Below are 13510 nucleotides of genomic sequence, written 5' to 3' on the forward strand. Positions count from 1 at the left end.
ATACATACCTTTTGGTATATACATTTCTTTTAGGTAAAAACCAAAGACAAGAGCTACTCAAATAGAGTATGGACATATCTAGAATTGAATGGTAAACTGTTTTCCAAAGTGCATGCTCGTATATAATAATATGGCTGATTTTTTTATATGGATATAGTTTTATTTCCCAAAATAACCCTTTGTAAATTTTAAAATTTACAGATGAGAAAACTGAGACTTAGAAATGTTAAATTTCATGTTGCCGCTCAGACAGGTAATAGGTAGTGGAGCCAGGTGTTGTGCTAACTATTCTACTATAGAGGACTCATACTGAACTTTAGGGTTTACTCGCTCTCAGATGTTGAAAATACTGCTAGTTGCCACTCCTCCACATATTCTCCCTGTCTTCCTAAGCTGCAGAATCCCAATTTTCTCCAGGAAGCAAAGACTGTGTTTTCTAGTCTCATGCAGCTAAGGGTGCTCAATTAGACATAAGCAAAAAGTTTAGGTGAGAAAACTGGGAAGGGCAATTAATGAGGACTGACTCTTTTAGGAGTCACATTCTTTTGTCCTTTCTCTACTTCCTTCTTCTTCCTGCCCCAAACCTAGAGGCAATGGTTGGAGTTTCAGCAGCCATTCTGGACTATGAGGAGGCCCTTGAGGATGGATTTGTCTATTTCTTCTTTCAGGTCTATCAGTTTTGCTTCATGTATTTTGAAGCTGTTTTATAAGATAAACAATCATATGGGATTGTTATGTCCTCTTGGTGAATTTACACCCTTTATAGTGGTGAAATGAACCTTTATGCCTGATGTATTAGTTTCCTAAAAGTACTGTAACAAATTATCACAAACTGGGTGGCTTTAAAAAATTTATTTTCTCACAGGTCTAGAGGTTAGAAGTCAGCAATCAAGGTGTTGGCAGGGTCCCTTTCCCTTTCAAGGCTGAAGATAAGAATTCTTCCGTGCCTCTTCTGTCTTCTGATTGTTCCCAGCAATACTTGGTGTTCTTTTGTTCTTTATCTTGTGACAGCATAGCTGCAATCTCTGCCTCTGTCTTCACATAGAATTTTCCTTTTGTCTCTGTGTCCATATTCCCATCTTCTTATAAGAACACCAGTCAAAATGATTTTAGGGCCCTTTCTAATTAAGTATGACTTCATCTTAAATTGAGTAAATCTGCAAAGACCCTATTTCCAAGTGGGTGTGAATTTTGGGTGAGCATTACTTTTTTTTTTTTTTTTTTTTGAGACAGAGTCTTGCTCTGTCACCAGGCTGGAGTGCAGTGGTGCGATCTCAGCTCACTGCAACCTCTGCCTCCCGGGTTCAAGCGATTCTCCTGCCTCAGCCTCCCTGGTAGTTGGGATTACAGGCACGAGCCACCACGCCCAGCTAATTTTTGTATTTTTAGTAGAGATGGGGGTTTCACCATGTTGACCAGTATGATCTCGATCTCTTGACCTTGTGATCCACGTGCCTCAGCCGCCCAAAGTGCTGGGATTACAGATGTGAGCCACTGTGCCTGGTGGGTGAGCATTACTTTTTAAGAGACATTACTCAATCCAGTACATCTGGTAATATCCTTTGACTGAAACTCATTTTCTCTTATGTTAATATAGCCAGTCTAGTTTTATTTTTACTTGTGTTCATATGGGATATCTTTTTCCATTCTTTTACTTTTAACATATAATTGTTTTTTATATTTAAATAATCTTTCTTATAGACATATAGTTGGATCTTGCTTTTTTAAAAATCCAAGTAGATAATTTCTGTTTTTTTTAATTAGAGTATTTAGACCATTCACATTTAATGTAATTCCTAATATGGTTAGATTTAAATTTATCATCTTTCTAGTTGTTTTCTATTTGTATTCCATCGTTTCTCTGTTCTCCCTTTCTCATTTCTCCTGACTCTATTGTTAACATTTTTGACTCCACTTTAATTCTTTTCTTGACTTATTAACTATAACTTTTTGTTTTATTATTTTGTTGGTTGCTTTGTGGTTTATGGTGTACTTATTTAATTTATTTATTTTTTTTTTTTTGAGACAGAGTCTCACTCTGTAGCCCAGGCTGGAGTACAATGGCATGATCTCAGCTCACTGTAACCTCTGCCTCCTGGGATCAAGCAACCCCCCTTCCTCAGCCTTCCAAGTAGCTGGGACTACAGGCGTGTACTATCACACCTGGCTAATTTTTGTATTTTTAATAGAGGCGGGGTTTCACCATATTGGCCAGGCTGGTCTCAAACTCCTGACTTCAAGTGATCCACCTACCTCGGCCTCCCAAATGTGGTATACATTTTAAACTTATTATAGTCTATATTAAAGTGATATTTTATTAACTGACATATATAAAAACTTTAAGCTAACACACTTTCTTTACTTTCTCTTTCTTCCTACCTCTGCCCCTGACCTTCCTACTATTGTTTTTTGTATATCTTACTTATACCTATGTAATAGGCCCCAGAATAAATTGTTAATTTTGTTTGAACATTAAATTATCACTTAAAGAGATTTAAAACAGTAAGACAGGCATATTTACTATTTTACCCATGTGGTTACCATTTCTAATGTTCTTCTGTGTAAATAGATATTTCCAGTTGGTTTCATTTTCCTCCTGCCTGAAAAACTTGCTTTATCATTTCTTATAGTGTAGGTTTATTGATGATAAATCATTTCAATTTATTTTTGTCTGATAAAATATTTATTTCACTTAGGTTTTACAAGGATATTTTCTGTAGGTATAGAATTCTATATTTTTATATCAATACTTTAAAGATGTTACTCTCCCATCTGCTTATTTGCATTATTTCTTATGGGAAATAGTAGAACACCCTTTGTTCTCCTCTATGTAAAGTATCTTTCTATCTGGCTGCTTTCAAGATTTTCTCTTTATCACTGTTTTTGAGCATTTTGACTGTGATACATCTAGAAAAATGTCTTCAGCTTAGGGTTTCTTCAGTTTAGAATTGGTTGACCCTTTTAGAGGTCAACAGTTTAGAGTTGTTGCTGCATGTTTCTCTGTGGGTTTATAGTACTCATCAAATTTGAAAAATGTTTGGCCATTATTGCTTCAAATAATTTTTCTTTTCCCCTCATCTCTCTCCTTCCTTTCTGAGACTCCTGTTACCTCAAAACCTACCTGAATTGTTCCACAGCTTACTGATGCTAGACTTATTTTTAAAATTCTGTTTTTTTCTGTAATGTTTAATCTGCCATTATTCTTTAGTATATTTTTCACTTTTTACATTTTAGTTTTCACGTGTAGAAATTCAGTGTGAATCTTTTGTATATTTGTCATGATTCTCTTCTATTTTTTAGCATATTTAATACAACTATAATAACTTCTTTAATGTTACCTGTTAATTCTAACATGTCAATTTTAAGTTTGCTTCTATTGATTGATTTTTCTTATCTTCATGAGTTATATTTTTCTGCTTATTTGCATGCCTGGTAATTTTTCTTTCCAGACATTGTATATTTTACATTGTTGGATGCCAGATATTTTGTATTCTTATAAATAATCTTGAGATTTGTTATGGGATGCAGTTTAGGTACTTAGAAACAATTTGATCCTGTATTAATCATTCTTGGATTTGTTAGGTTGGAAAGAAGCAATGCTCAGTCAAGGACTACCACAAAAGCAATGCCTTTCTGTGTACTCTGCCCAGTACTTTGTGAATCATACACTTTTACAGTCTTCCTGGTAGTAATCGGCCCATTTCCAGCCCTCTGTGACTGTTAGACCCTATTACCTCTAATTATTGTGTGTTCTTTCTCCAGCCTCAGGTGTGTTCCTCACATACAGGTGCTGATCAATAATCAGGTAAATACTTAGAGGGTTTCTGTACAGATCTCTGGAGTTACCTCTTTGTGTAGCTCTCTCCTATTCAATCGGTCCTGCAATACTGTCTGTCTTATTCTACTCGAATCTCATCTCTGTATTAGTATTCAGGGGATTGGCTGGGTACCTTCTGAAGTTTCATTTTCCTTTACTATGGCCTGGAAACTCTCTGAGGGCAGTAAGTTAGAGAAATTGTAGGACTCGATTAATTTGTTCGTATTTCTCCGGGGTCATTCTCTTTCATTGCATGATGTCCAGTGTCTTGAAAACTGTTGTTCTATATATTCTATCCTGTTTATTTGTGTCAGGCAGGAGAGGAAATTCAGTGCCTGCTACTCCATCTTGGCAAGAAGTAAAATTCATTTTGATATATTTAAAATATTGACATTACATCTAGCAATCTTGTTAGACTCACTAATCATAACATTTTAGGTGTATTCTTTGGCATTTTAAACATATACAATCACATTATTCACAAGTATACACAGTTCTATTTCTCTCCTTTTCCTTTGTCAAGGACCCACCCCCTCCTACTTCACAGAGAAAATAGAGGCCCCAAGGCAGGGTATTAGGGTGATGCTGGCCTCATAAAATGTGTTTGGAAGTATTTTTTCTGGCTCTATTTTTGGAAGAGTTTAAGATGTTGGTAATAATTCTTTGAATGTTTGAGAGAAGTCAGCCATGAAGCCATCTGATCTGGGTTTTCTTTTATTGGAAGGCTTTAATTACTTTCTTAGTCTTTTTATTTGTTTTTCATCTTTTCAGGCTTTCCATTTTTTCCTGATTCAATAATGGTAGGTTGTATTTTTCTACAAATTTAACCATTTTCTCTAGGTTATTTAATTCATGACCTATAATTGTTCATAACAATCCATTATGAACCTTTTTATTTCTGAGCCATCTGTTGTAATGTCTCCACTTTCATTTGTAATTTTACTTATTTGAGCTTTCTCTGTTTTTGTTTTTAGTTACTCTAGGTAAGAGTTTGTTGGTTTTGTCAATTTTTTTCAAAGTGTCAACTTTTGGTTTTATTCATTTTTTTTGGTTCTCTATTTGATTTATTTCTGTTGTGATCTTTATTTTTTCCTTCCTTCTGCTAACATTGGGTTTAGTTTGATCTTTTTTCTAGCTCCTTAAGACATAATGTTATGCTATTTATTTTGACTATTTCTTTTATTTAAAAAATGGAGGCATTTATTGCTATAAGCCCTTCCCTTAGAGCTGTATTGATGCATCCCATAGGTTTTCATATATTGGATTTTCATTGTCATTTATCTCAGATTTTAAATTTTTCCTTTTGATTTTTTCCTTGACCCATTAGTTGTTCCAGGAGCATGTTGTTTAATTTCCACATATTTGTAAATTTTCCAAAATTATTCTTGTTATTGATTTCTAGTTTCACACCATTGTGCTGAGAAATAGTCTGGATATTATTTCAGTCTTCTTGAATTTGTTAAGACTTGTTTTGTGGCCTAATGCATTGTCTGTCCCGGAAAATATTCCATGTGTACTGGAGAAGAATGCATGCTCTGCCTCTGTTCAATTAAAAATTCTATGTATGTCTGTTAGATCCATTTGGTCTAAAGTGCATTTTAAGTCCAGTATTTTCTTGTTAATTTTCTATCTTGTTAATCTATTAATTGTTGAACATGGGATAGTGAAGTCCCCCACTGTTATTATATTGTTCTCTATTTCTTTTTTATGTTCATTAATATTTGCTTTATAAATTTAGGTGCTCCAAAGTTGAGTGCATATATATTTACAATTGTTATGTCCTCTTGATGAGTTGACTCTTTTATCATTACAAAATAAACTTCTTTGTCTCTTATAATAGTTTTTGACTTGAGGTCTAAGTTTATCTGATGTTAAGTATAGCTACCCCTGCTCTCTTTTGCATGGTACTGTTTTCCATCCTTTCATTTTTTAGCCTATGTATGCTCTTAAAGCTAAAGTGGGTCTCTTCTAGGTAGCATATAGTTAGGTCTTTTTTAATCCGTTTAGCCACTCTATGTTTTTTGATTGGAGAGTTTCATCTATTTACATTCAAGAATTTACTACTGCCATTTTGTTAATTGTTTTCTGGTTGTTTTGTAGCTCCTTTACTTCTTTTTTCATCTCTCATTGTCGACTGTTGTGATTTGGTTATTTTCTGCAGTGCTAAGCTTTTATTCCTTTCTATCATTTATCTGCTGTTGTTTCATTTTGTTTTCTGTTTGTTTTTTGCTTTGTGGTTATCATGTGGCTTACATAAAACATCTTATAGCTCTTTCAAGCTGTTAGCTAGTTAGCTTCAATCACATACACATACTCTAAACTTTGTTGCCTCCCATTATTTATATTTTTATTTTCAACATTTACTTTTTTATATTGTATATTTCTTACCAACTTACTGCACCTAAAGTTACTTTTGACCATTTTGACTTTTAAACTTCATATTAGACATTTGAAAGATTTACACACCACCATTAGAATACTAAAGTATTCCAAATTTGATTATGAATTTACCTCTATCAGTGAGTTTTATACTTTCATGTTTTTATAATAGTAATTATCACTTTTTTTCCCAATTAAAGCACTCCCTTAAGCATTTGTTCTAAGGCATGTATAGTGGTGATGGATTCCCTCAGCTTTTGCTTCTCTGTAAAATACTTTATTTCTCTTTCATTTCTGAAAAATAGGTTGGGTGGGTATAGTATTTTTGCCTGGCAGTTTTTTTTTTTTCTTTGAGCACTTTGAATCTATCATTACGTTTTCTCCTGGCTTGCAAGGTTTCTGCTGAGAAATCCACTGATAGTCTAATGGGGATTTCATTGTATGTCTCTTGACGTTTTTCTTTTTCTGATTTAAAAATTCTCTGTTTGTCTTTGACTTTTTTATTGTAATATGCCTAAGTGAGGAGCTTTTTGGGTTGAACCTGCTTGGGACATTTGAGCTTCATGGATCTGCTTGTTTGTATATCTCCCAAAACTGAGGAAGTTTTCAACAATTATTTGATTAACTAAGCTTTCTGTGCATTTCTCTGTCTCTTCTCCATCTGAAACTCTTATAATGTTAAAATTTATTCACTTAATGTTGTCTAATCATTTTTGTAGGTTTCCTTCTTTCTCTTAGTTTGCTGTCGAAGCTCTCATTTGTATTTTTTATTTTATTCATTGATATCTTCAGCTTTAAGACTTTTGTTTGGTTATTTTTTGTGACATATATCTCTTTATTGAATTTCCCATTCAGATAGTGCATTATTTTCTTGATTTCATTGAATTATCTAGCTGTATTCTCCTGTATCTTGCTGAGCTTCCTTGAGATCATTATTTTAAGTTCCTTTTCAGGTAATTTATAAGTTTCCATTTCTTTGGTGTCAGTTACTTGCAAATTATTGTGTTCTTGTAGTGGTGACATGTTTCCTTCCTTTTTCTTCTTTGTTATGATCCTGTGTTGATGTCTGCACATCTGATGGAGCAGTTGACTCTTCAGTTATATATTTCTGGCTTTCATAGGGAAAGACTTATGTGCAAATGAGTTGGAACTAAGATGTCAGTTGGACAGAGTGTGTTGGCTCTGGGTTCAGGTGGGCATGGTATTATAGTCTACATACATGTTCTTCAACTGTGATCAATGTCAGTGATGACTGCAGGCACCTCAGTGGTCTGGACTTCAGGAGACTGTGGCAGGGGTGTTTGCAGGGTTGGTTGTTAGAGTTCATAGTGGCAAACTTTTTAGGAGTCTTTTATTTTCTTTCCTCACAGTGGGAGACTTAGCTGATGGGGTCCTCATTGGTGTTGGGTCTGACACGGGCCATAGGCAGCTCAGGAGCACTATGTTCCAGGGTACAGGTGCTCAGAATGGCTGTGGAGCTGGTATGCTGGATTCAGTGTCCTGTTGAACTATCGTAGCACCTTTGATAAGAGCGAAGGTTTACTCTCTGAGGCACAGTGGATGCAGCTCTCCCACCAAGCTGAGGACTGTAACTCTAAAGGCACTCTCCAGTAGCTCAGCCCCAGGAGACAGAGATGTAACTGTGACTCCGATCCTCCAGCACTGGCAAAACTCCAGGAAAGGAGGAGTGTTTCACAGGTTCAGGCCCCAGGAAGAGGGCACAACTGCAATCCAGGTCCTGGAGCCAGCAGAGCTCAGTGGCAAGTTGGGCACAAGAAAAAGGAGATATTGCATAGTGGTGACTGGACCCTGGAGTAGTGGGACACAATAGTGGCCCAGGCTCTGTACATCCTGTTGCAGCAGCAGCAAAAACCCAGGAATGGTAGGAAAGCTGTGGCTTGGGCCCTAGGTGGTACAGAACACTGTAAGCATGGTGCCACTCCCCAAGGAGATAGGATATCTTAGCAACTCAAACTCTGGAAGGCTGGTTCTGATCTAGGGAGGTAAGGCACTGTGGATCTTTGGCCCAGAGGGTGAAGAAGCACAGCTCAGGAAGGCTCTATTTCCTTGGTGGGGCAGGGTGCTATGTCAGCTCAAGCACAAGGAAGGTGTGGCTGTTGTACTGGACTGATGTTCCAATTCTGGGAGGGGAAGAATCAGGTGGGACCCTGGGTTGGTTCAGGTCCTAGAGGATGAGGTTGCTATGCAGACTTGGGTGTAGTTTCTCTCTTGCACAATGATCCTGGTACCCAGGGAGATCAGAGTGCCACACTGGGTTGGACGCCAAGGTTATGGCTCCTCTCTTCATCTGGAACTCCAATTTCAGGAGGATGAGGCACCAGGTTGACTCAGGCACTAGGGAGCACAGTTGCTCCACTGGCTCAGGCATGGATTCTCTGCTGAGCCAGAGCACTTGGTCCCTGAGAGGCAGGACACCCCATGTGCCAAGGTTGCAGCTGCTCCCTTGGGTAGAAGCTCCAATTTCCTCAGCACAAGGCACCAGATTAGTTCAGGTGCCAAGGGTATGTAGCTGCTCTGGTAAATCCATTATATCTTACTCACTGGGCTGAAGGGTATGGTCCCTGAGGGGCAGGGTGCTGTGTTGGCTGTGCACGGGGTCACAGCTACTCTCAAGCCAATGCTTGATTCCTGTGGAGCAGGCGATAGGTTGGTTTGAGCATCAGGGAGCACAGCTGCTCTGCTGGGCCTAGTCTTTGAGTAGCTGGGGTTGAGGGGAGCAGCAATTGGGATTGGGGAAGTGGAATGCTTCCTATGCAGCTTATTTCAAGATGGTAGGGGGCTACAGAAGCTGAGTGAGGAAATGGTATCCTACCATTTGTGTGAAAGTGGGGGTGCAATGATGGCAGAGCCTCAGGGATGGAGGGATACAATGGCTACTGGCCCCCAGAACAGAACACACTCTAGCAGTAGCTCTGGTTTTAACATGTTGCAGTGCAGTAGCAGTTTGATTCACAGGGTGCAAGGTACAACATAGGCTCATCTGGAGTAGTGCCTCCATGTGAATTCTATGCAGCTCCCTTAGCTGGGCTCAGGGTCTGTGAGGGCTGCAGGATCCATTAGTAGTGAAAACTGTGAGTGTCCTCTACAGTGATGGAGGCTGCTAGGGGCCTTCTGCTTATCTTTTCCTTGCAAGGAGAAGTCCCTCCTGGTCCCAAGCTGATCTCAACTGAGGAGGAAGAGGGTATGGTGGATACATGATGTTTCTTTCTCTTCTGGATGTGTACATCCTGAGTTTCTGTGCTCCACAGAGTTTCTGCCACTCCCTTGCTGTTCCCCAGCACTCTCCTTTAGTCACTGTGGTTGAAATGTAGTTGTTCATTCATCATTTGGGTCCTTTTTTGTTGGGGGCAAGTGTTAGGCACCTCTAGTGAGCTGTCTTGCTGACATCACTCTCTGTAGCATTTAATAATGGAAAATTTATTTGTAGAACTATGCCTGTCCTACATCTTCTTTCTCTTATCTTTCTAAACTGATTATTTGAATATTGGACATCTAGGACTGAATCTTTAATCTTTGCTCTCTTGTTCTTCACATCTTATTGCTGTTTCTATTTCTAAGAAATTTCCTTAAAATTATTTTATACTGAATTTCTCATTAATAGTAACTTTTAAGTGCTCTTTTATACTTTCTCAGAATATATTATTTTAAAGCTTCTTGAAACTGCCATTGCAAAATTATAACTGAGACAGTCAAAGAGATCTTACCTAACCAACTCTGTCTTACTTTTAACCTCCAAGCTGTCCTTGTGCATTCCTGGGTGAAGGCTGAACTAACTTTAAGAGGAACTTAGTTTATACTTTAAAACAAAGACAATAACAGCCCTTTCCCAAAACAAACCTCCTTGCCTGGGGACTAGACTGTCTTTGTGGGACTAGACTGCCTTTGTAGTACTAACAAATTAGCCAAACATTCAAAATTATGGTTTAGGAGTCATGTAGCTGGAGGCTACAAGATTCTGACTCTCCCTAAACTTCACCGAAAATCAGTGTTTGAGATATTTGGCCGACCCTGAACTTGATGGGTCAGCTGGCACCACCCATATTGATAAACTGGCTCATCTGATCTGTGGCCCCCACCCAGGAACTTACTCAGCACAAGAGGAGAGCTTCAACTCCCTATGATTTCTTCTCTGACCCAACCGATCAGCACTCTTGACTCACTGGCCTTCTTCCACCCACAAAATTATCCTTAAAAATTGATCCCCCAATGCTTGGGGAGACTGATTTGAGTAACAATAAAGCTCTGCTCTCCCATACAGCCGACTCTGTCTGAATTACTCTTTCTCTGTTGCAATTTCCCTGTCTTGATAAACCAGCTCTGTCTAGGCAGCAGGCAAGGTGAACCCATTGGGTAGTTACACTCTTATTCTTATTTTAATTTATTTTTAGTGTTTTAAAAATTTTTTTCATTTCCCTGCCCATTACCTCTAATTCCTTTTTGTGCATTTGTTTGTTTTTATCTTTGTTTTTCACATTAGAGTCTTTTCTCAAACATTGGGTGAATTGTATTGAAGGGCACTGATATGGTTTGGCTCTGTGTGTCCCTACCCAAATCTCACATCAAATTTTAATCCCCATAATCCCCGCATGTGGGGTGGAACCAGGTAGAAGTAACTGAACCATAGGGGCAGATTCCCTTATGCTGTTCTTGTGATAGTGAGTGAGTCTCAGGAGATCTGATGGCTTGATAAGCATCTGGCATTTCCCTTACCTGCACTCACGCCGTCCTGCTGTCCTGTGAAGATGCCTGCTTCTACTTTGCTTTCTGCCATATTGTAAGTTTCCTGATGCCTCCCCAGCCATACGTAACTGTGAGTCAATTAAATCTCTTTTCCTTATAAATTACCCAGTCAAGGTTATTTCTGCATAGCAGTGTGAGAACGGGCTAATACAGCCACTCAAAAGCTGATGGGACACCCCATGTGCTTGCTCAGGACTTATAAATTCGTTGGCTGCTTTGCAGGGTGAATCACCAGTTGTCAGTATCTCTAGCCCATTTCTTTTGCACTGATTGGCACCTCCAAAGGTGAATCATCTAACATCCTTAGAGAAGGATATTACTGCCCACATTCTCAGAATAGTTTGTTACAAGAGGAGTGGATAACTCAACATTCAGAATATAGGATTTCAATTAATCTTCTGTGTTTAGTGCAATGACAACTCAGCTGTGCTTTTGGTCTCCACATCCAGTCTCTGGTTCATTGTAGATAGTGATTAAATTTCTAGTCTTCTGCCAAGAAGACACAGGAGCAGCAGCCCAGCTGTATGTGTGACAGGGTCGGGGTTCTAACTGCTTTTCTCACAGACTTAGAGCTTGTGTTCCTGGTTTGAGCTCTACCTCTAACAAAAAGTTTTAGAAATACTGAGCACCTCTAATTATGGGTTATTCTACTGCATGAAGTAGCTAGTTTTTAGGCTTCCCTCACTGCCACCATATGTTTCAAAAAATTTCTGGTCTTCAAGTTCAGTTATAACTCCTTCCTTTTCTTTACAGCTTTTAAAATTTATTGTAATTTCCTCTCTCATCCTCCTTAACTTTGTGAATTTATGCTTCTTAAAATTTCCTTTACTGTAGTATATTTATACAATGAAGTATGAAATAGCAATATGAATGCTATTTTTATAGCATTTGATCTATAATTAATATAATTAATATGGAGGAAAATAAGCCAGATACAAAAGAATTCATACTCCATGATTTTTTTCATATCAGGAAAAACCTGGAAAAATTAATCTATGTTGTTGGATGTCAGGGTAACGAATACATTTGGAGTTACTACAGTGATTGGCAATGGGATGAGGGAGTTCTTGGGATGCTTAGAAGGTTCTGTTTCTTGCTGTGTTTGCTGGTTACACATATATGTTCAGTGTTGAAAATTCATCAAGCTTTATACTTACGATGTGTGCCTTGTTTTGTGTGAATTATATATATGGTTTACTTCAAACTTTTAAAAGTTTATTTACTGCCATTTTAGTAAGTTCTGGAACACAGTAAAAGTCAACGCATAGATTGCATCTGTGATTTTTAACCTAAAGTTCCACATTTGTACAGTATTTCGTCATAATTTACTATGTGTCTATTACTAAAATACCTTTTAATTTACCTGGGGACATATTTAGAAAAATCGTGAAGCAAAGTTAACTATGCCTTTCATATTTATATTCCTCTACATCTCCAGCAACATATTTTGCTTCTGCAGCAGATTAACAATGCAATATGCTTACCTAAAAAGGGTCTTCTTTCTAGTAGTCAGGAAACTAGTTTTATCCCAGATAAAATCTTTTTATCTAATTTCATCGTAGACATGACCTCTTCTAAATTTAGTTTGGTTTACCCCATGAACATTTATTTTCTTTAGATAAGAATTGAATTTCTACTATAATCCCAGTGCTGTATCATAAACTGTTGAAACTAATCTTTTGTGCAAATACATGCATAAATAGTTTTAAATGAAGGTAAAATGTAATAAAGTACTAAACCCTGTGGCTTTTTAGGCAAGTCTGCCCTGAATGCCCCTCCTTTTTCTTATTACTCTGCCAAATACAACTGTACTTGAAACTGCCTTTTCAAACATTATAACAGTGACAAAATTATGACAGTGAAAGAGATCTGATCTAAGCAACCCCCATCTTGCCTGTAATCTTTAAACTGCCCTTAATTATTCCTGGGCTTGAGCCAAGCTAACTGGGAGACTTTATAGTTTAAATGACAATAGCCCTTCCCCAAGACTAAATCGCCTTTGTAAAGCTCATGAAAGACCACCATGATAGGAGAATGAAGAGCCCCAGTTCTGCTAAGATGTAGGCATAAATGCTTACCAGCTGTTATTCTGGAGGTCACAAGACTTGCAACTCCCCAATCACTCCTGCAGATAACATCATTATTGTGCAACCTAAGATTGGCTTTCTTGGGTATCTCTTCAGGTTTTTGCATGGGATGACTTCACCCGTGGGTCCCGTGACCCTACCCGGAAGCTGACTCCTTGTCCCACCAAACTATCCTTGAAAAACCCTACCCTCTGAATTTTCAGTGAGATAGATTTAAGTAATAACTCTATCTTCTACCTGGCGTGACCAGCCTCTAATATCTTTTTATCTTTTCTTTTTAATTATTATACTTCAAGTTCTGGGATACATGCGCTGAACGTGCAGTTTTGTTACATAGGTATACATGAGCCATGGTGGTTTGCTGCACCCATCAACCCACCACCTACATTAGGTATTTCTCCTAATGCTATCCCTCCCCTAGCCCTCCACCCCCTGACAGGCCGCCGTGTGTGATGTTCCCCTCCCT

General features: G+C 38.1%; 1 long non-coding RNA gene across 1 annotated transcript in view, besides 1 other annotated feature; it reads left to right on the forward strand.

Annotated features, from left to right (window-relative positions):
* The window catches only part of LOC105370529 (uncharacterized), a 149443-nt gene that overhangs the window by 74872 nt on the left and 61061 nt on the right, over window positions 1-13510 (forward strand). The gene's annotated exons all lie outside the window — the stretch shown is intronic.
* Window positions 12688-13222: an enhancer, noted in NCBI's record as "OCT4-NANOG hESC enhancer chr14:62912186-62912720 (GRCh37/hg19 assembly coordinates)". NCBI's record gives its function as "activates a minimal SCP1, AML or CMV promoter by ChIP-STARR-seq in naive and primed H9 embryonic stem cells {active_cell/tissue: H9 hESC(naive and primed)}" and the evidence as "EXISTENCE:reporter gene assay evidence [ECO:0000049][PMID:30033119]".

The sequence above is a fragment of the Homo sapiens genome, chromosome 14 (genome assembly GCF_000001405.40).
Source record: "Homo sapiens chromosome 14, GRCh38.p14 Primary Assembly".
Classification (NCBI taxonomy): domain Eukaryota; kingdom Metazoa; phylum Chordata; class Mammalia; order Primates; family Hominidae; genus Homo; species Homo sapiens.